General features: G+C 41.1%; 1 protein-coding gene across 4 annotated transcripts in view, besides 2 other annotated features; it reads right to left on the minus strand.

Annotated features, from left to right (window-relative positions):
- The window catches only part of FGF13 (fibroblast growth factor 13), a 590,297-nt gene that overhangs the window by 141,340 nt on the left and 425,722 nt on the right, over positions 1–23,235 (minus strand). The window lies entirely within an intron of this gene.
- Positions 4,262–4,791: an enhancer, noted in NCBI's record as "NANOG hESC enhancer chrX:137842490-137843019 (GRCh37/hg19 assembly coordinates)". NCBI's record gives its function as "activates a minimal SCP1, AML or CMV promoter by ChIP-STARR-seq in naive H9 embryonic stem cells {active_cell/tissue: H9 hESC(naive)}" and the evidence as "EXISTENCE:reporter gene assay evidence [ECO:0000049][PMID:30033119]".
- Positions 21,748–22,947: an enhancer, noted in NCBI's record as "MED14-independent group 3 enhancer chrX:137859976-137861175 (GRCh37/hg19 assembly coordinates)". NCBI's record gives its function as "activates an origin of replication core promoter dependent on BRD2, BRD4, P300/CBP and CDK7 cofactors, and independent of MED14, by STARR-seq in HCT116 cells {active_cell/tissue: HCT116}" and the evidence as "EXISTENCE:reporter gene assay evidence [ECO:0000049][PMID:35650434]".

Genomic DNA, 23,235 nt, shown 5'->3' on the forward strand with positions numbered 1-23,235 from the left:
AAGCCAAGGAGAGAGGCCTCAGAAGAAACCAAACCTTGAACTTGGACTTCTAGCCTCCAGAACTGTGAGAAAATAAGTTAGTGTTGTTTAAGTCACCCCGTATTTTGTTATGGCAGCTCTAGCAAACTAACAAAAGGAGTTTCTCATCCTCCAGATGAAAACCTTTGCTACAATTCCTGTCAAACCAGAGAAAAGAGAAGGCAGCTGGCAGTCAAGGATTCCAGAAGCCCTGGGCAGTTTCTCCCTCTCTCCAGCTGTCCAGTCAAATTTCAGGCTGGAGAAGCCAAACTAGTCACTGGGAACTGCGGTGGGGGTGGGAGGAGTCTGCCTGGGCAGCCAGTTTGAAGCAGGACTGCTGTGTGCTGGCTATTAGCAGGCAGGCTCCTGGAGATGGCAGCATTAGCTAATGATTGCTCCTTCAGGCAGGACAGCTGCCTTTCTGCTTTTTTCCATAGCAATTTGTGGCCAGGGAAGGCTAAGCAACGGGCCCAAATAAAGCAAGGACCCTTGCCAGTGCCATATGTTTCTAACTGAAATGGGGAGCCCTAGAAATGCTTTTAGAAATAACCATTTGCTCTTAGCTAATTGCAATTCCCCTACCCCAGCCCTTTGTCAGACCGCAGCCTTCAGGAATACCAGGCTGCCTGGGGGACAATTGTACATTACATTGTCAGTCTGGGGTGTAAATTTCCCACTCCAGTCATCCTGTTGAACTCACAGTTCTGTCCCTCCTCCTAATCCTCCTTCCCCAACATGCCATCCATATTTCTGGCTCCAGGTGATGTCCACTATATACTCCATCTGGAACACCCTCCTTCTTTCTCTTGATCTAATTCCAGTCCTTTACCTACTTCCAAGCTGAATTATACCTCTGTTATCTGTGAAGCCTTCCTTGGGCACCACAAGCTGCAGTAAGGCTTCTTTTCCTGAAGTGTAATGGTGCATAGTGACAAGGGACCTATACTGGAGCCACATCGAAGGAGTTGAGCAAAAGGTACACAGAGGCAGGGGATGGGTGCGATGAGAAACAACCCTGTCTGTGCACCTAGTATGCCATTTACTGGCTTGGTACCTAATCCCATGCTGCCTGAGGAACATACCTAGCATCCTGGTTTGACTCTTGGTCACATTACATATCATGTGCATTGATCACTACTGCCTCAGGGTTTTCCCTGCCAACCTCACCCCTTTCCCACCTCCCCACCCTTTGAGCATCACCTATAGTGTATGTCGCTGAATTCCAAGTGGCATGCAATTTTCTGCATGCCACTTGGCATATTCTCCCAAGTGGCTTGCAATTTTCTGAACTTGGTGCTGAATAGACATTTAGAGGTGAATTCAAATCCAGCATGGAACCTCTGTGAATTTCCAAGAAACTCTAAAAACAACTATTTTGCTGTGTTTTCTGCCATCCTTAAAATGTCAGTCAAAGGCCTGAAGGAAGAGCTAGCTGCTCTGTGAATTTTTTTTCTCTGTGAATTTTTTTTTCTGTGCCTAGAAATGTGTGTGAACCAATAGTGAGCTGGCAGTATATGAGACATGGCAACGGAGCACAGGAAGGAAGACACCAAAAAATGCCCAACACAGGATCTCTGACCTTGAATTGTTTAGACGAATAAGGAAGACAATATACTGAGTGCTACAATGAGGGACAGGCAAGGAGATGTGGGACCATCAGGAAGGCAGAAAGGAATAGAAAATGAGGAAAGTTTACTGAGAACCTACTATACACCAGATTCTGTGACAGCTGCTTTACATGGATGATCTACTTCAGTTCCTTTAGCAACCCTGTGAATTGGTAGTATTATTACATCCATGTCTGACAAAACGAAAATCAAGGATAATTGAGTTGCCCAGAGCTGCACATCAAAAAAGTAGTAAGGGTAGGAATTGAACTCAGGTCAATTGTACTTCAGGGACTGTACTGTTAGTCACTGTGCTGAACTAGCACATGCAGTACTGAAATTCAGCTCTAAATCTGTGGCAAGTTAACTTTTACTAGGCGGGAATAAGGAAGCTGTGTCTGCTCCTCAAAGTCAAGTTGGAAGGGGAGAAACAAATGCAGGGGAAGCCAGAGTGATCCCTAAATGTCCCTACTACTACACTTCTTCCTCCCATCTGAGCTCAGGGAACCTAGTCCTCTCCTCCTCCCTCAATGTACATACCGGGGGAATGTACTCTGGGGAAGAGAAAAGGACCTGTCATGTGTTCACACAGCATGTCTCCTGATGCTCAGTGCACTTCCCTTGCACCCAGGTTTTAGTCCCAGAATGTTACCTTCTCAAAGCAAGGACCGTACATTTCTATGCATGGTCTTTTCCAGACACATCCCAGCTAGAGCAATCAACAGCCAAGACCTCAGCAACCGGACCACTGAAACTGACAAGAAAAACACAGCAAGTTCCTAGGTCCTCATGCTTGGCATTGCAGCTCTCCACTCATCTCTGCTCTGGATCTTCGACCCTCTCTTCTCAGTGACCACTAGCTAGTGGTTGAGATGAGTCCAATCTGGCTCCTCTCACACAGGAAATGCAAGGCCCTTGGCATACCATGTGTCCCCTCCTTAAACTGCTTGGCTCCTGCAGCCTACCCTGAAGCTTTCTGGTCCCCCAGCTCTTTTTGCTTTTCAGCAAAAAAAGAGTTTTGATTACAAAAACTGTCAGAAGTAAGAAAATTTATCCTTGTTAAAGGACACAGCCAAAATCAATATATACATTCTATTCCATATAACAGTCATTTCATTTATGCTAATTAAATAACAGCTCCACAATCAATTATTTGGCTATTTACTAATGGAAAATAATGAAAGCGACTCATGTGAATAAATTCATGCTCCTCCTTTTAATCATTTTAGGATGGTCTGCACACATTTTAATACAAAAGTGCTCACATTCCAGGTTTGCCGGAACAGCAGGCAGGTCCTTTCCTTGAACGACAACTCCTTAAGGCCAACAGGGTAGCAAAAAGTAATGAGTGGAAGCTGAGAGCGTAAAAATATTTACTGCACATAGTCCACATTTGGTTTCCATTGCAGGTTGGTCTGAGTCATTGCTGGCTTTTGGTTCATAAATTAAAAAAGCAGATTTCTGGGTAATTGCAGATTCCCTGACCAAGGGCTTGGGATGGCATCACGTATCTGACAAAACCACTTTTGCTTCAAGAACTCAACACTCCTAACCTTCTGCAATAGATTGGGAACACTGCATACACCAAGCGAATATTGATGCCCCGACATCTCCTTAGGGCTTATTTCAAACTGGTTGCCTCCCCTGTAAAATGCCATTTATGGCAACTGGCTGAGAGGGAGCTATTTATAGTAAGCAAAGCAGGGCATTGCTCTCCAGACACCTCAAGTGTGCTTTTCTCATCACCTGTTTCTCTGAACAAGCAAACAAGGGAAGAATGAAGTTCTAATGCTGGCTGAGGAGAAAGAAAATATGTGGAGCAGCTACAAAAGATCAGCTTGCTGTTCTCAGGCCCTGGTTTCCAGGGGAGATGCAGTAATCTTTAACCTTCTCAGTGCAGTCCCGCCTGCCTTACTCTGTAGCTGAAGTCTGGCCACTGCATTGTCCCAACTGGCCTACTTCTCAAGTGCAGCATTGGAAAAGTGGAAGGGGTATGGGCTGTGGAATCCAAGAGACCTAAATCCACTCTGCCACTTAGAAGTCATGTGACTTTCGACAATTACATCACCTCTCTTAACTTTAGCTCCTCATCTGTAACTTGGAGCTGTGTAGGCTTGTTGTGAGGCTAGAGCAGTAAAGCAGCTGACACATCATAGGCCTTCTGTAAATGGCAATTGTTACTGTTAATAGTGAAGGTCAAGATCCTATATTTCACCTCTTCTCTATACCTAACGATTAGCACCAGTGATTTTATGAATGAAAACAGCCTTTAATAAACCCTTGCTATATGCCTGGAACTCTGCTGGATGCTATGCATGCCTTGTTGGGGTGTATGAGGATGTAGTGGGGGTAAGTGGGGAGATGATTGTTACAATGAAAGGAGTCCTCTGCTTTCTGAACTCCTGTCACCTTTAGCAACCATTATTAAGCTCAAAGATGTTTGTGCCAGAGTTCCTAAACAATGCACCGTTAACCCAGATCGATGTTATTTATATTGTCGTGCACCTAACACATATTTACCATCTTTCAACAATTCTTTGCAGTCATCCTAAACAGAATAAGTGGAAAGGCACCACTGTGTGGTTTGAATGTCTATGTGTGCATGTACCTGTGTGTGCATACTTGGACCAAAGAGAAAGCAAGGAATAAAATCCCTTTGCAAGTGCTTAAAAAGCAGTTTCTTTCCATTAACCCTCTTCCCCTTCGTTTGAGTTCCAGTGTTCATTCCTAGGGAAAAAGGACCACAAAGCTGACACAAGCCTGCCTCGGTGTTAGCCCCACTTTACAAAGTTAGAGAAGAGAGATTCTGGAACCCACCAAGGTGGGCAGGGGAGGGTGTTGTGGGGAATCTGGCCAAAACAAAGGAAAACATTTACAGACAATTAGTTGCAAGTTAGAAGACTGAGGGCTAGCAGGCTTGCCTTTGTCCATACCACTCCTCCTTATCCACAAAACCCTGTGAAGCTCAGCAAGTTTAACTACTTTGTCCAAGGTCATGTGGCTAGTAAGAGGCATAGCCAGGATTCCACTTCAATGTGAGCTTACTGTCAAGTCCTCCAGCTTTCTTTCCTCTTGTACCATAATGTACCATGAGGACTTTATTGACAGGTCACTGGGTCAACACAGAGCCAGATTAGAATCCATATCTAAACTGTTAACCTAGGTTCTCTAACATCTCACCATAAGAGGTGCCTAGAAAGCTACAAGTGAAAACAAACAAAAAAACAAACCTGGAACAATCAAGTAAGGACAGGTCAAAATGAAAGCTAAACTTTCTCCCAGCTTCTAAGAACATGTGTCTGGTCACAAATTGCATTACATCAGGTACTGGATCAAAATCCAATACTGTCATACTGGATGTAGATTTACATGGATGTAGATACTGGATGTAGATACTGTCATATCATGTAGATTTATGTTCCTCTCCGGCCCTGATCTCAGCAGAATCACCATGTTAAATGTGCCTGAAAGAACTTCAGGGGTTTAATTCAAGTCAACTTAAAAGGCCTTTGACGATACTTTTTTATGGTTCTTGAGATTTAATATTCTCTACAATGCTGCCTGCTCTTTCTCTTGCTTGCCATTCAGATCTTGTTAATGATTACTGATGAATTTCACAAAGGTCACAGACACAATTTTTTACTCTCATTACTATACTCAGTCAACACCCTTGAACTGAGTAGTACTGCTCTCCCGGAGCTCTGAGTGCTTCACCACTCCTGGAACTGCTTTGGGAATGTTTAAGGTCAAAGGCTTTGAAAGGACCACTGAGGCAGCAGATAGGTAAGGAGCCATGCTGCCATCCACAGGGTTAAAGCCAGTAGTAAGCCAGTGGCAAGTCAGTTGCTCAAAAAGCAAATCAATACTGCACTTCCTCATGATGTCTGCCCCATTGGACTTGAAAGCAGCGACTGTGACTAGGGACCTCCACTGTCCAGCACAGTGCCGGTTTAACAAAGCTGCCCCATCATCAGTGTCCATCATGTTTGCCCCATATGTCCACCTCCAGAGGATATTTTTGACCTTTAACTTCAAAAGACTGCTTGCCAGCACTGGACATTGAGAACCACACTTTATTCTTTGATATTCCCATACCTTGACTTTCCTGACTCTGCATTATCCTGGTTATCTTTCCACGAAATCCATCCCCTCCTTTGTCTCCTTTACTGCGTCGTTTTCCACTTTCTGACTCCTAATTGCAGGTGGTGACAGAGGTCTGTCAACACCTCTTTTTTCTTTCTCTTCTTGCCTTTTTTCTCTAGGTAAGTGCTATGCAATAGCACTTTCTGTGATAATAGAAAGGTTCTATACCTCTGCAGTCCAGTATAGTGGCCACTTTCTATATGTGACCATTGATAATTAAGTGTATCTAGTGTGACTGAAGAACTGAAATTTTAATTTCATTTAATTTTAATGTTTAAATTTAACTAGCTGCCTGTGGCAGGTGCCTATCTTATTGGCTAATGTAGCTCTAGACATTTGCATGTGGCAATCTCATCTCATCCTATGGTTTCAGGAGCAACTTTATTTATGACTCCTCAATGTCATTTGGCTTGATACCAACTTCCCAATGGTGCCTTTGACCTGATAACCACTGTATGTGGAAGAATTTCATAGCCGTTAACTCCACTGAAATCTCTACTTACTGCCCTAGCATATATAATAAATACTTATTTAATGAAAGGATGAACAAAGGATAGGTAATTTTAATTTCATCCATTTTTGTGAGAACTAGATTTTTTGGACTGAGAGGAAGACTGTTTAGACAAAGAAGAAATTAATTGGCTGGTTGTTCAAAGATAAAATTTACATCTTTCTTCAAATTTATTATATTTCTCCACCACATTTAGGACGTTATGGGCTTCAATTCTGTCTTATGAGGAGGAAGCATAGTGTTAGAGTTAAGATCTTGGTATTGACAGTCAAATTGTCTGGGTATGAACCCTGGCTGTACCACTAACAAGCTATGCAACAATAGGCAAGTCACTTACCCTCTCTGTGCCTAAGTTTTCTTATCTGTAAAATGGGAATAATAGTAGTACTTACTTGATAGGCATATTGCAAGAAGTAAATGAGATCATGCATAAAATTGCACCTAAAGCAATATCCAGCATATAATAATGATGATAATAATAGCTAATATTTACCTGAATCACAGTCTTCCTGTGTTCACTACATTTGGCTTGGATATGTGATCCATTGGGAAGCCCAGGAATGCTGGATCTCAGGTCCAAATGAAATACCCTTAAGGAGGTCCCCAAACTCCAGAATCTAAGTTAGCAGAACTGCTGAGTAGACACAGTCTTGTACATAATTTCCAAAATGGCTGAGTTTTGTTTTTACCATACTTGACTATAAGTAGAGAAAATGGAGACACCTGCTTAGCTCACAGCAAACTTGGGAAAAAATGTTTATGTTTATGTGTATGTATTATATCATATACACCAAGATAATACATAGTTTATATTATATATACATATATATATTTCAAAGCATGCTGTGAGTTAAGCAAAGGGATCCATTGTTTCAGTTACACTACACACATCTTATGTAAATATATAATATATTATGCAGATCACAAACTATATATATTTTATATATATACATGTTCTATATATATGGAGGGGTTTCCCCTATTTGGGTGGATACTTACTACCTACAAGTCCAGCTGGGAAATCATGTATGTCCTTGCTGGTTTGGGGACCGATAGAGAACACACTCCACAAGTGTTTGTAGTCCTTGCATTGTCACATCCAACACATTTGCCTGTGCACAAAAGCGTGGCTTGTTGTATATGCAAAGACACTGTGTCTCTTGCACTGCAAGCAAGATAATTAGATGCTAAGACCCTAAAGTCAACATTTGTTTTTGGATTGAGTGTTCTGGTAACAGTTAATTAGCATCTTCATGCACAGTATTATCCTCTACCCTAAATCATGAACCTCAACATGAGGGACTGCTTCAGTGGATACTAAAGAGTTGGCATTCTTCCCTTTGTGCACTACCCCCTGCCCGCCTTTAAGTCACCAGCTGTAAAACATGGCCTTTAGCTCTTTCTCCACATGGTATGTTGCAGTTATATGCTACATCCCGTGTTAATAATACATCTTCAGCAATGGGACAGCTGTCACTCTTGCATTTACATATCAGATAGTGAGAAAACAGAGCCAGGGAAATGGCTGGACCAGGGCAGCATGAGGACAATAAGTGCTCACACACCAGCTGGCTGCTCCTTAGAAAGAAGCAAGAGGTTGTCAACTAGATACCTTGCCAACTACCCTGTGCCTGAGGCGTAGTAGAAAGGTAAGCACTGGCAGTTCCACTGATCCAATCATTCCAAACCGGCTTTACTTCCCCCTGCATGAGTAGCCTTTGCTGACTGTGTTTCTAGCTTAGACCCTGAGCTGAGAAGCCCCTTCCATTCCTAAAGAACTTCAGATCCAGGGAACTATGAGAAGAATCCAGCATCTCAGGAACAAACTGTGATGAGGAAGCATGCCATCTCTGAACCTGGGCCATAGACTCTTGGCATAAACCTCAACACGAGGGGCTGCTTTTCCAGATGAAAGCATGTGTAATTAACCCTGTGATACTCTAGCTGAATAAAATCACATTCTATTTTTCTGCCCGAAATAAAGTTTGGATATGGAGCAATCCTCTAACCCCCGATGATGTAAACACTCAACTTTTTGCAAATAGTATAACAGCTATTAGGCATACACTCTAGTGTAGGCTGCTTAAAGGCAAACTGTGGCCGCAAGGTCAAATCTGGCCCAATGCCATCTATGTTTACACAGCAGCAAGTTTAGGGTGGCTTCCACATTTTAAAATGGTTTAAAGAAATAAAAATGAAGACTGTTTCATGATACATAAAATTATGTGAAATTCGAATGTCAAGGTCTGTAACTATAGTTATAGAACCTGCCATTAGTTACAGACACAATCATACTCATTTGTTTTATAGTCTATGGCTGTTTTCTAACCAGAAAGTTGAGTAGTTGGAACAGAGGCTGCAAACCCTAAAATATTAAGTACTTACTGTCTAGCACTTCACAGAAAAATTTGCCAACCCCTTTCTTAATGCTCCAGTAGCCTGTTTTATAAAATGTGGTTAACTTTACCTTTATTTTTAGACTTTTGTAAGGATCCAATTAGGTGATGCATATAAACATGCCTTCTTGGGGATTTGAAAGGCAACACAGAGGCAGGAAAGAAATCTGGGGTCATCAGAGAAATGGCTGTTATTTCTTCTTTTCAATAAGTTCCTCCACAATAATGGCAAGCATCTATTCAACACAATAAACATGTGCTAAGCCTCTGAATGGCAATAAAATGGTTAAGAACTCAGGAGTTGGAGGGATCTTGCTTTGGATATGAGTTCTATCATTTCCTTAATATGTATTTGGGAAAAGTCTTATGACCTCACTGAGCCTCTTTCTTCATCTGTGAAATGAGGCAATAATATATCATTCCATGTAATGTTCACAGCAGTCCAGTGAGAGAAGTAATTATTAATAAAGTGTTTTGTAATGCAAAAATGCTTTGCATGCAGCTGTGATTATTATTACATGTACTGTCTCTCCCTCATTCACTTGCTTAGTCACCCCTTCAGAAAATTCCAGATCTATTAGGCACGGCTTCTCTTTACAGAATCTAATGACACATACTGCCTTTCTTCAGATAGATTTCTGTGGTCCTGTTCTCTATTATAAATTCCACCAGCTTATTTGACATAGAAAGCTAGACTCACTTATCTCACTGGTACTATAACAGGCACTCTGTCCCAGTGCCCATTTGTTATGTAGTAGAAAACACCCAAGACATCTTTCAAAACAAATCAAGGCACAATTTGAATTAGAGATGGCCTGAAGTTTAAGGCCTGGAGGAGATTTCAGAAAAAGTGTAGTTGCATAAAAATGAACAGGAGCTATATTGTGATTGAAAGAGCTGTCTCAGCAGTCAGATGGCCTTGGGTTTGAATCACCACTGTGTCCTTTACAGCTGTGAGGCCTGGAACAAATTATACTCAATCTCTCCGAGCCCTTTGAGGTCTCCCCATTGCACTAGAGAAAACATCACCATCCTTCCCATGACTATCAAGGCCCTGCACAATCACACTTGTCGTGTGCAACTCTTCCTCTCTCTTTACTCTCAAGTCTTACTGGGCCTGTTTCAGTTCTCGAATGTTCCATGCTCTTTCCCACCAAAGGGACTGTGTACTTGCTATTTCCTCTGCTGGGAGTGAAGCCCCTATTTCCACTCTGCTCTCTCGCCCATCTTACCTAGTTGACACCCATTCATCTTTCAGACCTCACCTCAGCTTAAAAGTCATTTCTCTAAGAAAATCTTCTCTGACTCCATCCTCCATGTCTACATAACTGACTTAATTCTTTCTCACCGATCCCCACTGTAGCCTGTACCTTTGTGTACTAGCATTTGACACCAATACTTACATTTTTTAAAGTGTAAATTGAGCATTATTTGTTAAATGTCTGTCTCACCCAGAGAGCTCACCATTGAGTTTGGACTTCCTCACCATTTTATCTGTAGCACACAGATTTGCACCTGCTACATAGTAGGTGGTCAATAAATGCTTGTTGTATAAATGAATGAATGACTCTGTGATGTGCTCTTGCTAATGTGAAATTTTAGAGGACATCAACTTTACAGAGCTAACAAGTTCTGGAAGGCTATCAATTGCACAGTGGTCGTTCCACTAATGACAAAATGCCTTGGGAAGCAGGAAGAATGTTTTCAGAGTAGCAGTTACAACCTCCCTGCTGACATGATTTCAGTGCAAACCCATTTCTCTTTGCTATTGCTAGTCAGAATGCTATTAGAAGTCAAATAACGCAACCCATATTTAGGGAGCTTAAATATCTTTTTGATGTTGCACATGATTTATAATGTCTACAAAGGCATAGCTGAGATGGCTGATGTTTCCTTACCTTGCAGCAAATTAAGGAGTCTATTTTTCCCTAGCAGGTGTGTGAATACTGTAAACCTAATTAATGCTAACGATAGAACATGCCTGCAAAGAGACCAAAGTGAAGGAGAGAGATCCTTCCTGTTAGAATCTTCTCACCACTCCTCATGTTATAGTTTGAGGTCTTACATTTACATCTTTAATCCATTTTGAGTTAATTTTTGTATATGGTGAAGGGTAGTGGTCCAGCTTCAATCTTCTACATATAGCTAGCCAATTATCTCAGCACCATTTATTGACTAGGAAGTCCTTTTCCCATTGCTTGTCTTTGTCAACCTTGTCAACGATTAAATGGTTGTAGGTGAGGTTCCAAGGCCGGGAAAGCTCACCAGAGCATCCATGCCCAGATGATTCACAGGCCCAGGTGCTCAAGGACGAGGCTCTGTGGGCCAAGTTTTCAGAGTCTAAGCGGCTTCAGGGGAATCTACGTTTTCTGCTATATGATGTGAGGTGAGAGGGGACCAGAACTTGGAGAGCGATTATGGAAACAGGATTCAGGAATTGGGATTGCCAAGTTGAGTTTCTTGGCCTCAGCAAGGCACTGGTGCTGGCTTCTTCTTCTTGAAATAAAATAAATAATCTCACTCATATTTTTATGTCTTTTATCCAAGATATAAAATCCACATAGCCCATTTTGCAGAATATACTAAACTTTGTTTCCAGGCATTCAATGATGCATCTGAAATTTTAATGTGTGCACAAGTCCCATGGGGATCTTGTTAAAATTCAAATTCTTACCCAGGAGGTCTAGGATGTGGCCTGAGATCCTTCATTTTATTCTGCTGGTCCATGGATCAAACTTTGAGAAACAAGCAATACTTTAGTCTGGTTCTGATATCATCAGTAGTAACTGATGTGATTAATGATCATTCTGAGGCCCTGCAAATTCCTTCTGAATCATCTCAAAATAGTAGAAATTCAGGACATCTATCTGAAATTCTGGAGGCCATAGTCAAACTATCTCCAATGAAGCAACTCTTGGTGAAGCTATGGAGTGTTTCAAGCTTGATATATAACGGATACAGGCAGAAGTTCTAGTCAAAACAGACATGGCTTTTCATCCTGGCCAAGGAATTTACTAGCCATGTGACCTTGGTCAGGGCATTTAAACTTTCTGAACATCAGTGTTCCCATCTGTGAAAAGGGAATAACAATTCCATGGGGGAATTTGGAGAATTAGAAACCAGAGATATACTACAGAGTTTGGCAGGAATTACATCATCAGAGCAAAGTGTTGTCTGTTCCGCCACATAAAATCTGGTTGCAATTAAGACTCACACTACCTGGCCAATGAAACTTTGTCAGTGGCAGTTTTCTACTGTGGGAATATCTTCTCAGAAAAGAGAGCCCCGAAGGGACTGCAAAGTTACAGAGGTTTAGGACTTGGCCCTTAGCCCTTTTTGATCACTACTGTCATGAACCCATCCAGGGGGCAGCATCATGAAAGTCAGCCATCATCATGGGCTCCCCTCTCCACAGCCATGGTCACTCTTTCAGGCCTGGCTATTTAGAAACTCGTCATTTTAACTTCAAACATCGTGAAACATTTTTTGAACTAAAAATATTCTTCCCTCTATGAAATGTGGAAAGGCTTGTAGTTTTAAGCATGCATTGTCTGATGTATAAGCTCTGGAGTCAGATAGTCCAAGTATGTCTGTCATTTAGTAGCTAGACCACGGTTTCAGTTCTTCTAGCTTTTATGCTGTTCCAATTTAGGATAGAGGTTACCCTTAAGGGTTAGTGACCACAGTGGCTCTTTTTGGGGGTGCTGGTAATGTTCTACTTCTTCATCTGGGTGCTCATTATTTAGGTGAGTTCAGTTTGTAAATATTCATCATTAATTGTACATGCACTCTTTTGTATGTATGTTATATTTTACGACAAAATTAAAATATGTCATTCCTACCTATTAATGCAACTACAAGGACTATGCAATGATCTGAATGAATACTTTTAAATGCAAGTGCAAAATGTAAAGTCAAAAGTAGTATATATATATATCATACTTATATATAAGTATATATTATATATATATATATAAGTATATATTATATATATATGATATATATATATATATAATTTCACAAGTGGCCAGTCTCTGGGCCAACAGCCTAGGAGGAGACATTTCATTAAGCCTCACAACCAGCCTACTTCGTTTTATTTTGGTCTATGTGTGAGAAGATAGAAGAAGCAGATTCATGGATCCCTAGAGCCTCTGAGGGAAGAGTGGGGAACTCACTAGTTTGGGGTCCAGCACAGCATACTCTTGACTGCTTTTGTTCTGTTCTGGGGGTGTCTAATTGTGTTATGCTGTGAGTAGTTAATATCCTGCATCAAGTACAAGTTATGAATCAGGGTTTAACATGATTCGGTTGACTGTTCTAATAACACTGTAACACGCTTGACCTATTCACATATATAGCAATGATACATAACTGATCCATGACTACTTGGCAAGTAGGTATAAATGGATCCTATTTAATGGTAGTCATTGAGGTTAGGATTGTTTTCTTGAAGATATATTTGTATGGACATAGGAGTGAAATTGAACTTCTCTTTGATTATACACTGCAAAGGATTTATAGTAAGCTTAACAGTAACATGGCGGGGTGGTTAAACATGTAATATGTAAGCTTTGGCATCAGGCAGACCCAGGTCCACTTCCCTAATCTGCAAGTTACCAGCTGTGTAACTTTTTACAAGTTACTTAACCTCTCTGTGCTTCAGTATTGTTATAAATGAGTTGGGTTGTCACGAAGGACAAATGAGATAACAATTGTAAACTGTACTTAGCCCACTGCCTGGCAGAGAGTAAACATTCAATATGTAATTATTATTATACCATTATAACCATGACCATCATGGAAAATCAGTAAGTTAAAATGTGGAAAGTGTCTGGTGTAAAGTTAGCGCTTGATACATGTTTTTACCTTAAGACCACAGTTTCTGAGATTAGCGTTGGTGTGGGACCATTAGGCCCACAGGGAAAGTGAATATTTTTCTGATTAGCTATAGAACAATCTGAACGTGTAAACAAGGGAAAATAAAAAGTGAATACAAATTATTGTTGCCGAAGAGGACTTGCAAAGCCCCCTGGAATTTGGGCCAGCCCACCTTGTGTCCGGCCTCTCATGCTGCCCACTATCAATGAATCACCTAGTTCCAAGAAGACGATAGAGAAAAAATTGAGCACCATTTCATGTAAGCATAAGCCCTGAAACCTTATCATAGATTTCTCTCACTTTCTATTTATTCATGTAGTTTTACATTTTCATGTCTCCTTTAGAACATGATTTCCCCAAGTGTGTTTCAAAAATAATAGATTTTAGAAATGTATTATTCAGTGACAAAAACGGTTATGTGGTCAAATAAGGTGAGAATTCTGCATACTATGCCCCTCTCTTGAGATCTATAACACACATTGTTCTATCAAAGGCTCTGACAAGTCCTGCCATGTATTCAATCACTTGTTCATTCATTCATTTAATAAAACATATATTGAGTACTTACTATTAGCTAGTCAATATTTTCGGCACTGGGGGGAATATAGCAGGAGCAATGTTACCCCACAGGGCATTGTTTAATTCAGTGTTTCCCAAATCATTCTCTCTGTAAAGACCCTTTATAATTTGCCACACCCTCAGCCCCCCACTTTTACCCCAGCTAAAATGAGTTATCTTGAGGTTTCCCAAGCAGGGCACTCAATTTCAGATCTCTGTGAATTTGCTGGTGCTGCGTCACCCTCAACCTAGAATGCCTTTTCTCCCTCCCTTCCACCCCCTCTTGACTCACTAACCCCATTCTTTCATTTACATCCTGCTTAAGTTCCAACCCCTCTGAGAATCCCTCCTAGTTCCATGCTACTAGGCTGAGATAGCTTTCTGTCCTCTGTGCTCTCATCGTGTCCTATGCACACCTACTATCGTGGCACGTTTTTAAATGATTTCTTTGCTTGTCTGTCCCATGCCAGACTCTAATTTCCTAGAAAGAAGAGACCATGCCCCATCCATCTCTGCATTCCCAGAACTTAATGTGGTGCTTGGCTCTGGGTAGTGACTTTGCAAATGGGCATTAAATGTTTTTATGAATCAGGGCCAAGAGTCTACTGCCTTCATGCAAATTATATAAAAAGGCACCAGCTCGGAGGAGGCACAAACTGGGAGTGCATGATCTGGCAAGTGCAAGGCACGTATGTACATGTCTGGGTCGGTGTGGGGTGGAGAAGGTGGGAAGTGCCTTCTGTGGGTGCAAGGTTTGAAAAGCAGAATGTGGGTTGGTCTTTGGCCACGACTGACCCCTCTGGCCTGGTAACATTTTGTCAGCAACCCTACAGTGTAAAGAATGGGGTCCCAGGCCACGGTGGGGGATTTTGGAGGTGACATTACACCGATGGACCTCCACAGCTTTTTCAGACTCTGAAATACTATACATCTAAAATGAGTAAACTAAAGAAAAATTTCTATGCAAGCCTACATATAATTAGCATGCATCCTTGCTCCTGCTTAAATTATTATGTAAGTTGGTTGTACTCAGCTGATAACCCATTCACCAAATCAGACATCTGCTACTCATTTGTTTCTAAGGAAGTGAAGACAATTCGGCAGGATTCCCACTATGATGAAACAAGTTAAAATTGGTCTTACTGCTGTAACTCAATTATGTAATCTGGAAATTATAATTAGTATATAGGTTTGCCAGATGAAATATAGGGTGCCAATTTAAATTTGAATTTCAGATAAATGATACATTTTTTAGTACAAGTCTGTCCCATGCAATATTTGGGATCAACTTATACTAAAATTGTTTTGTTGTTGTTTCTCTGAAGTCAAATTTAACTGGCTGGCCTCTATTTTTGTTTGCTACATCTGAAAACCCAACATGTGATACCCCTGCAACAGCTAAACAGGGAAGATTTTCCTGGTACTTCCCCTCCAGAAAAAGGTATATTTGGGGTAGTAATTAATAGAGACACATGAGAACGCTCTCCGGTCATTCCCTGACTGCAAGATAGAGTATACAAGGAAAAGAATACAGTCATGATTCTGGAAGATAAAGAAGCTCTTCTTGCAGAAAAAAAAGGAGGAAACTCAGTTTAGAAGGATTTAGAACACCAAGGTGTCACTGCTAAATTCTGTACAGACTGTGATAACAAATCCATTTGAAGTGAAAAAGAGTGCCTTCATTTTTGCTGTTGATTTGTTAGGTTTTGTTCTCTCTGCTTTAAGAGAGCATATAAATTTATTTTTTCTTTAAAATGAAGTTTTTAAAATATTACATTGAGGAGAATAAAAATATTTATATACAAGGATTTCATAAAAGCAAATATTAAGATACATATGTGTATATATATATATATATATATATATATATATATATATATAGTAAAATCATCTCTATAGTGGGACAAATGAACATATCCATCACCATGTCGTATACCTTAAATATGCACAAAATTTATTTTAAAATTAATATACTGAATGTAAAAAATAAAATAAGATTTCAACTGGAAAAAAAGCAAGAATTAAACGTGATAATGCATATTAGGCATGTAAACATGCCTAAACATTAGGCTAAATGTTCCAGAAATTAGACTTGTTAATATTATCATCTTTATTGTTGTTATGATTTCTACATCTGGAGCAATCTAATATGAGCTTCCTTTCTTTTAGCACATAACAGGAGGACTGTTATGTGCTTATGTGTTATGTCCCCTTAGAAAAGGGGACACCCGTACCTTGAACTTTACCCTCAAGGCTGTGTTTGTGCTCTCAAATTATGGCACACTCAACAGCAAATGTTTTACCCAGATACAATTTTGATGCCATTTGTCTTCATTCCTTATATATTTTGTATGTGAGTTCTTCAATCCATGCTGTTTTCATCCATTTTTTTAAACATTGGCATTGGGCAAACTTTGCTGAGTTTTGTTAGTGAGTTGCAAAGATTGGCAGAGGTTGTACGTTACTTTCCATTCAAAGGCACGTTCTGCTAACAAGATTATGAATTAGAAACCTGAACTCTACCATAAGATGATTCACCATGGTTTAGGCCAAGCCACTTTTTCTTTTACCTCTGGGACCTATTTAATAGGCCATTAGCTTTGAAAACCGTCAAAATCCAGGAAGTACCCTAAGTATAAACAGATCCTACATAAAGCTGGTGTTACCTTTCATATGATTAGCTCCTGATAGCAATCTGGACAAGTATCATTCATTGAGTCTTGCTGGCATAACTAGCTATAAAAGTATCTATAGTGGGCTCAAATCATAGTAGCATAGAAGAATATTTCTGCACTATTGACCGAACTAACTGGTGTGTCAGTTTTTAAGTTCAAGTTGATGGCTGGTCTATATTTAGTAAAAAAAAAAAAATAAAAATATATAAATAATATATTTAAAAATGCCCTCATTGAGAAATGATAGAGGTGATTGAATGAATGATCAGCAAAAGCAAATGATAGTTGCCACATAAAATTAAAAGAGGCATCAGGATTCCAGGAGGGAAGTCAATTCAAATACAGCCATGAAATCAGTTAGTCCACCCATATGGCCTGTGACCCCACAATGTATAGTGTGCCTGGGAATCCATCCTGATGCACAGTGCTGCTCCTTCCAGTGGGGTCACTTGCAGCCCTTCCAGAAAAATGCTGATCTCACTGGGTCCTCAGAGGACAAAGGAGCAAAGGTGGACTTGACAATGGGTGAAGTTGATGAGCTTTCCAGATTTCAGTGATCAAGTCACAGGGAGTGCAAACATGTCATTATTCCCACTTGGACGTTTTTACAACATAGTAAACACTCATGACTACAGCCCATCATGATCCCACTCTGAAATACTGAATTTGGATCTCCAGACTCAAATGATGAATGTTATCCATGTTTCATAAAGTCATGCTACAATATGTTGTCAGGTGGTTAAGGCATTAAAAACAAAGTGAAATTTTAGCCGTTCTTAGTCCATAGCAGTTAATTTTACAGTTTTACTTCTTAGCTGTCAATACCTTTGCCATGGCACAAAATTAATTTATGATTAAAAAATTTATTAGAGAATAATTTTCAAGGAGGGGTGATTTTACAACTTGGGGACAAAGAGCATTCAGCATCAACCAAGTATCCACAGAATAGGCCTAAGGTACTATATGCCAGCAATGCAGCATGCCTTTGCCCTTACCTTATGTAGCTTCTGTCCAGCTATTTCAGCTGATTTTGTTAAAGCCAACCGAGAACAGGTTTTGCCTTCACAAATATACACGTGAATAGATACAAATAATCTAAGTCTTGGCTTATCTTCTCCATAACTTGATACAAGCCCCCATGAGCCATTCATTCCAATGACAACAGTCTTACTGTCCTCTGTCCTTTCATTGTCCCATGCTTTTGCCTGTAAAGCTCTTGCCTCAGGCCCAGATTTACAAAAATGATGATCTAGTAGAAAAAAGTAGGTAAGGGTATTCCTACCCATTCTTCACAGGAACTGGGAAAAATAGGAACTCAATAAATAAATTATTGGCAACGTTTTCAAAAGAAAAAACGAATAATGAAATTTAACTCAGCTTACAAAACACAACTCTAATACTTCTGCAGGAATAGAGGTGATGATGGTAATGATGATGATGATGATGACTGATGATGGTGACGAAGACAGCTAAAACTTATACACAACTTGCTATGCATGAGGAATTATTCCAAGTACTTTGGAACTCACTTAACCCTTGCTTCAATCATATGAGGTGGGCAGTATGTGATCTCACTTGATATATGAGGAAACTGAGGAATAGAAAAGCATAGCACTTTGGCCAAAGTCACCCATCTAGTAAGTAGTGAAATTAACATTCAAACTGAGAGAGTTTGGTGCCAGAGTCCTTGCTCTTACCCACCATTCCAAACCATTATGCTTTCCTAGACCTCTCATAGCACCTCCACAAAATTTGGCTTAACTCCACACTGTTGGCACTTAACAGAAATTATTAAAATAGAAGGCATGGTATCTAAGTGCCCACTTCCACACCAAATGGTAAGATTCCTAAAGGCAAGGCCCATGTATTATTTGTCCCTGTATCATCTAGGGCCTACTACAATATCCTGACCTATCATATACCCAGAATAAATTAAGTGAACTGATTTAAAATATTAGGCCAATCCATAAGAAACTGACATTGTTATAGGTCAAAATAGTTGATTGTCAGCAATTTATTTTCATTAAACTTAATAGAATATGGACAACACCCACCTGCTCCGAAGCTACCCATATTCTTCATGCTCTTTGTTTTTCTTATTTTTAAAATGTTTATTTATTTATTTGAGACAGGGTCTTGCTCTGCCACCCAGGCTGGGGTGCAGTGGTGCAATCTTGGCTCACTGCAACCTCCACCTCCAAGGTTCAAGTGATTCTTGTGCCTCAGCCTCCCAAGTAGCTGGGATTTCAGGCATGCGCCATCACGCTGGCTTATTTTTGTATTTTTTATAGAGATGGAGTTTTGCCATGTTGGCCAGGCTGGTCTTGAACTTCTGACCTCAAGTGATCCACCCTTTTTCTCCTCCCAAAGTGCTGGGATTACAGGCATGAGTCACTGTGCCCCAGCTCTTCGTGTTCTTTGAATGATTTATTAATTTGCAGCACATTGATAATCAGGAAGAGAAAAATACCATTAGAAAGTTTACTCACCTACTACTGATAAGGCCAGGACAAGAAAAAGTTCATAGTTCTTGATTTCTTAATGCAAATATTTTATTCTTCATTTTCCTTTATGGTAGGTACATAATAATGACTTGGGGTGTCTACAACACCATTTTTAAAGGTCTCCAAATCGCAATGGACAGTGCGTCAAACATTTTATCAAGGTGATGTTTAAATTAACAAAGTCTCCATCCAATTCTTATCTCGTCTCTCATTTATTCATTTAATTCTGCAAGTAATTTTCAAGCATTTCTTGCAGACCAGGACTCGGGAGATACTAAAAAAATATAACCCAGTTCTCACTGGCGACTCTTAAGTGGTAATGATATATCACTCCACAAGATGGCACTAATTCTTCTTTGTATTCCTTTCCCATCGTGATAGAAGATCCTACGATTTTTCTGCTGTCACAGAATACATAGAAGCATGACTTCTGTTTTGCAATTTATGCAGCTGACTGCCCATATTAACATATTCCAGACACTTGAGTCCATTTGGCTTTCTCAGGGACTTTCAAATGTTACTTTGGGAGAGGGTGTATATTATAGCATGGAGATATGTTGTGATGTGAGGGAGTTGAAACCTTTTCCTATTGCCGGTCTCTACCCTGGAGGAGCACTCAGACTTCAAGAAAAGGAGGGCAGAAAGCTGCATACAACATAGCAAAATGTATGCTAAGGCTGGAGAAGCTCAGTGGGCCTTGGGCACTTGCCTAAAGCTTCCCAGGGAAATAGATGCTCCAACTGCATCTTGGAGTTCCTCATATGCAGCTTCCCCATCCCTACTATTTCTACCAAGACTGATATTATGTATTTGTGCCCACTGTCACCTAGACCCTCTCTGACAAAAACATGGGATTGGCAAATTGTGACCTATGATTTTACTTCAAGAAAATATCCTAAGCCTGCAAAGAATACTTTTGAAAATCATAGTAACACTGAATGTTATATACCAGGCAGTTTGCTGCACACATTGTAGAGCTTATCTTATTTAATATCTCGTAAGAACCTTACGAGATATTTTTGCCTACATAACAAACACTTATACCATATTAAATGCATTTTCAAATATTAACTCACTTCAATTAACCATCATAACGGTCCTATGAGGATATATGCTGTTTTAATTTCCATTTTGTGGGAAACTGAGGCACACAGGGATTTAAGTGATATGCCAAAGGCCTCACAACTGGTAAGAAGTGCAACTGGGGTTCATAACCAAAAATGTAAAACATCGAGTTTGGGCTCTTATGTTGCCTCTCTGTTTCACAGGAAAGTAAGTAGATTCATCGGCTAAGAATGTCCTCAAATTCCTGCTACCAAACCTATAAACCTATCTGAATATGCATCTTCTTTCCTCTCTGTCCTTTGCTAATACTTATATCCTCATCTGTGTTCTGAGTTCTTTTCTCTAAGCACTTTTTGGGACCTCGCTCTGTTGACTCTCCTCTCCCTCTCTTTGCTTCCCATTTTAGGCCTTTAAACTACAATCAGATGTCTGGTCCAGACAAGATGGTGTAGATGTATTTCTCCCTGCTCCTCTGCCCAAAGTATTAATACAAATATGAACCCTGGGAATAATGCAAGCAACAACTAGAGGAAAACTCTGTAAGGTGGTAAAAGGCTGGCTAACTGGTTTAGGATCCCAGTATTGGATAAATAGCACAGTAGCAGGGTGTCTTATGATCCTCCCCCTATCCAACAGAACAAGGTGACACAGACCCAGCATTTCCTGATCCCTGACAGAACAGCAGATGGCAGCCCAGGTAGGCTTGCTTCTTTACTGGATCAAATGGTAATTCCTCTCACAATATCAGGTGAACCTGGGAATGGCAGCAAGGGGACATGATTGGGAGCCCTACTAATAATAAGTAGCCAGGGGAAGCACTCTCCTTCCCTGACAGCCCAGGACTCTCTTCCCTTACTGTGAAACACCAGGCAGCCAGGCAGTACTGGCAATGGGTATCCTGCCCCAACAAGCAGACCTTGTCCAAAAAGGTTTTTTGTTTCTACGGACCTGACACTCTCTCCCATTTTGAGAGACATCAGGTATCCAGGAAACAGCAACCAGGGGATTTCTACCACAAGAGGGTGCCCTGTACGTGAAGCATTTTTGTCCCAACAAAGGAGAAAAAAGGACCCAAGAATCCCTTCTTCTGCCAGAGGATGCTGGAGCAGGTGGGTGGAAATGATGGGAAAGGCCCAGCCACGACAAGTGGCCTACCAAGGAAGGTTCTTTATTTCTGTGGGCCTGGGAAAACCCTGTCTGCTCCCTCAGGCAGCACAAGCAAGGACCAGTGGGAGTTCCCAAGGCACCAGATAAACCATGCCGACCAAAATAGCACCGCGAAAGCTCTAAAAATATTAAACTGCCATTGTAGCCTCAACTCACAAAGTAGGCCAGAACCTTGACGCCAAATCTCAATGGAGTGACTTCTTGCTAAAAATACAAGATTTAGATAGGATCCATAGTCTCCCAATATATTAGCCAAAATGTCCAGGACACAAACAAAAATATCACCTGTCATACCAAGATCCAGGAAACGCAAAACATAAATGAAAAAAAAAAAGATACTCAGTTCATAATAACATTGAGATGACTTAGATGTTAGCATTACCTGATTGATAAGGATTTTAAAGCAGCTATCATAAAAATGTTTAAACAGCAATAACTTATTGAAAAGGTGGGGGTAGGAGCCAAGATGGCCGAATAGGAACAGCTCCGGTCTACAGCTCCCAGCCTGAGCGACGCAGAAGACAGGTGATTTCTGCATTTCCATCTGAGGTACCGGGTTCATCTCACTAGGGAGTGCCAGACAGTGGTATTTCTCAAAAGAAAACATACAAATGGCACAGATATATGAAAAGGTGCTTAACATAATTATCAGAGAAATGCTAATCAACACTATAATGAGATATTACCACATCCCAGTTAAAATGGCTTACATCCAAAGTGGAGACAAGATGGCCGAATAGGAACAGCTCCGGTCTACAGCTCCCAGCATGAGGGAGGCAGAAGACAGGTGATTTCTGCACTTCCATCTGAGGTACCGGGTTCATCTCACTAGGGAGTGCCAGAAAGTGGGTGCAGGACAGTGGGTGCAGCACACCGTGCGCGAGCCGAAGCAGGGCGAGGTATTGCCTCCCTCAGGAAGCTCAAGGGGTCAGGGAGTTCCCTTTCCTAGTCAAAGAAAGGGGTGACAGACCGCACCTGGAAAATCGGGTCTCTCCCACGCTAACACTGCGCTTTTCCGACAGGCTTAAAAAACGGCACACCGGGAGAATATATCCCGCACCTGGCTCGGAGGGTGCTAGGCCCACGGAGTCTCGCTGATTGCTAGCACAACACTCTGAGATCAAACAGCAAGGCGGCAGCCAGGCTGGGGGAGGGGCGCCCGCCATTGCCCAGGCTTGATTAGGTAAACAAAGCAGCCCGGAAGCTCGAACTGGGTGGAGCCCACCACAGCTCAAGGAGGCCTGCCTGCCTCTGTAGGCTCCACCTCTGGGGGCAGGGCACAGACAAACAAAAAGACAGCAGTAACCTCTGCAGACTTAAATGTCCCTGTCTGACAGCTTTGAAGAGAGTAGTGGTTCTTCCAGCACGAGCTGGAGATCTGAGAACAGGCAGACTGCCTCCTCAAGTGGGTCCCTGACTCCTGACCCCAGAGCAGCCTAACTGGGAGGCACCCCCAGCAGGGGCACACTGACACCTCACACTGCAGGGTACTCCAACAGACCTGCAGCTGAGGTTCCTGTCTGTTAGAAGGAAAACTAACAAACAGAAAGGACATCCACACCAAAAACCCATCTGTACATCACCATCATCAAAGACCAAAAGTAGATAAAACCACAAAGATGGGGAAAAAACAGAACAGAAAAACTGGAAACTCTAAAAAGCAGAGCACCTCTCCTCCTCCAAAGGAACCCAGCTCCTCACCAGCAACGAAAC

Source organism: Homo sapiens, chromosome X (assembly GCF_000001405.40).
Source record: "Homo sapiens chromosome X, GRCh38.p14 Primary Assembly".
NCBI classification, from domain to species: Eukaryota; Metazoa; Chordata; class Mammalia; order Primates; family Hominidae; genus Homo; species Homo sapiens.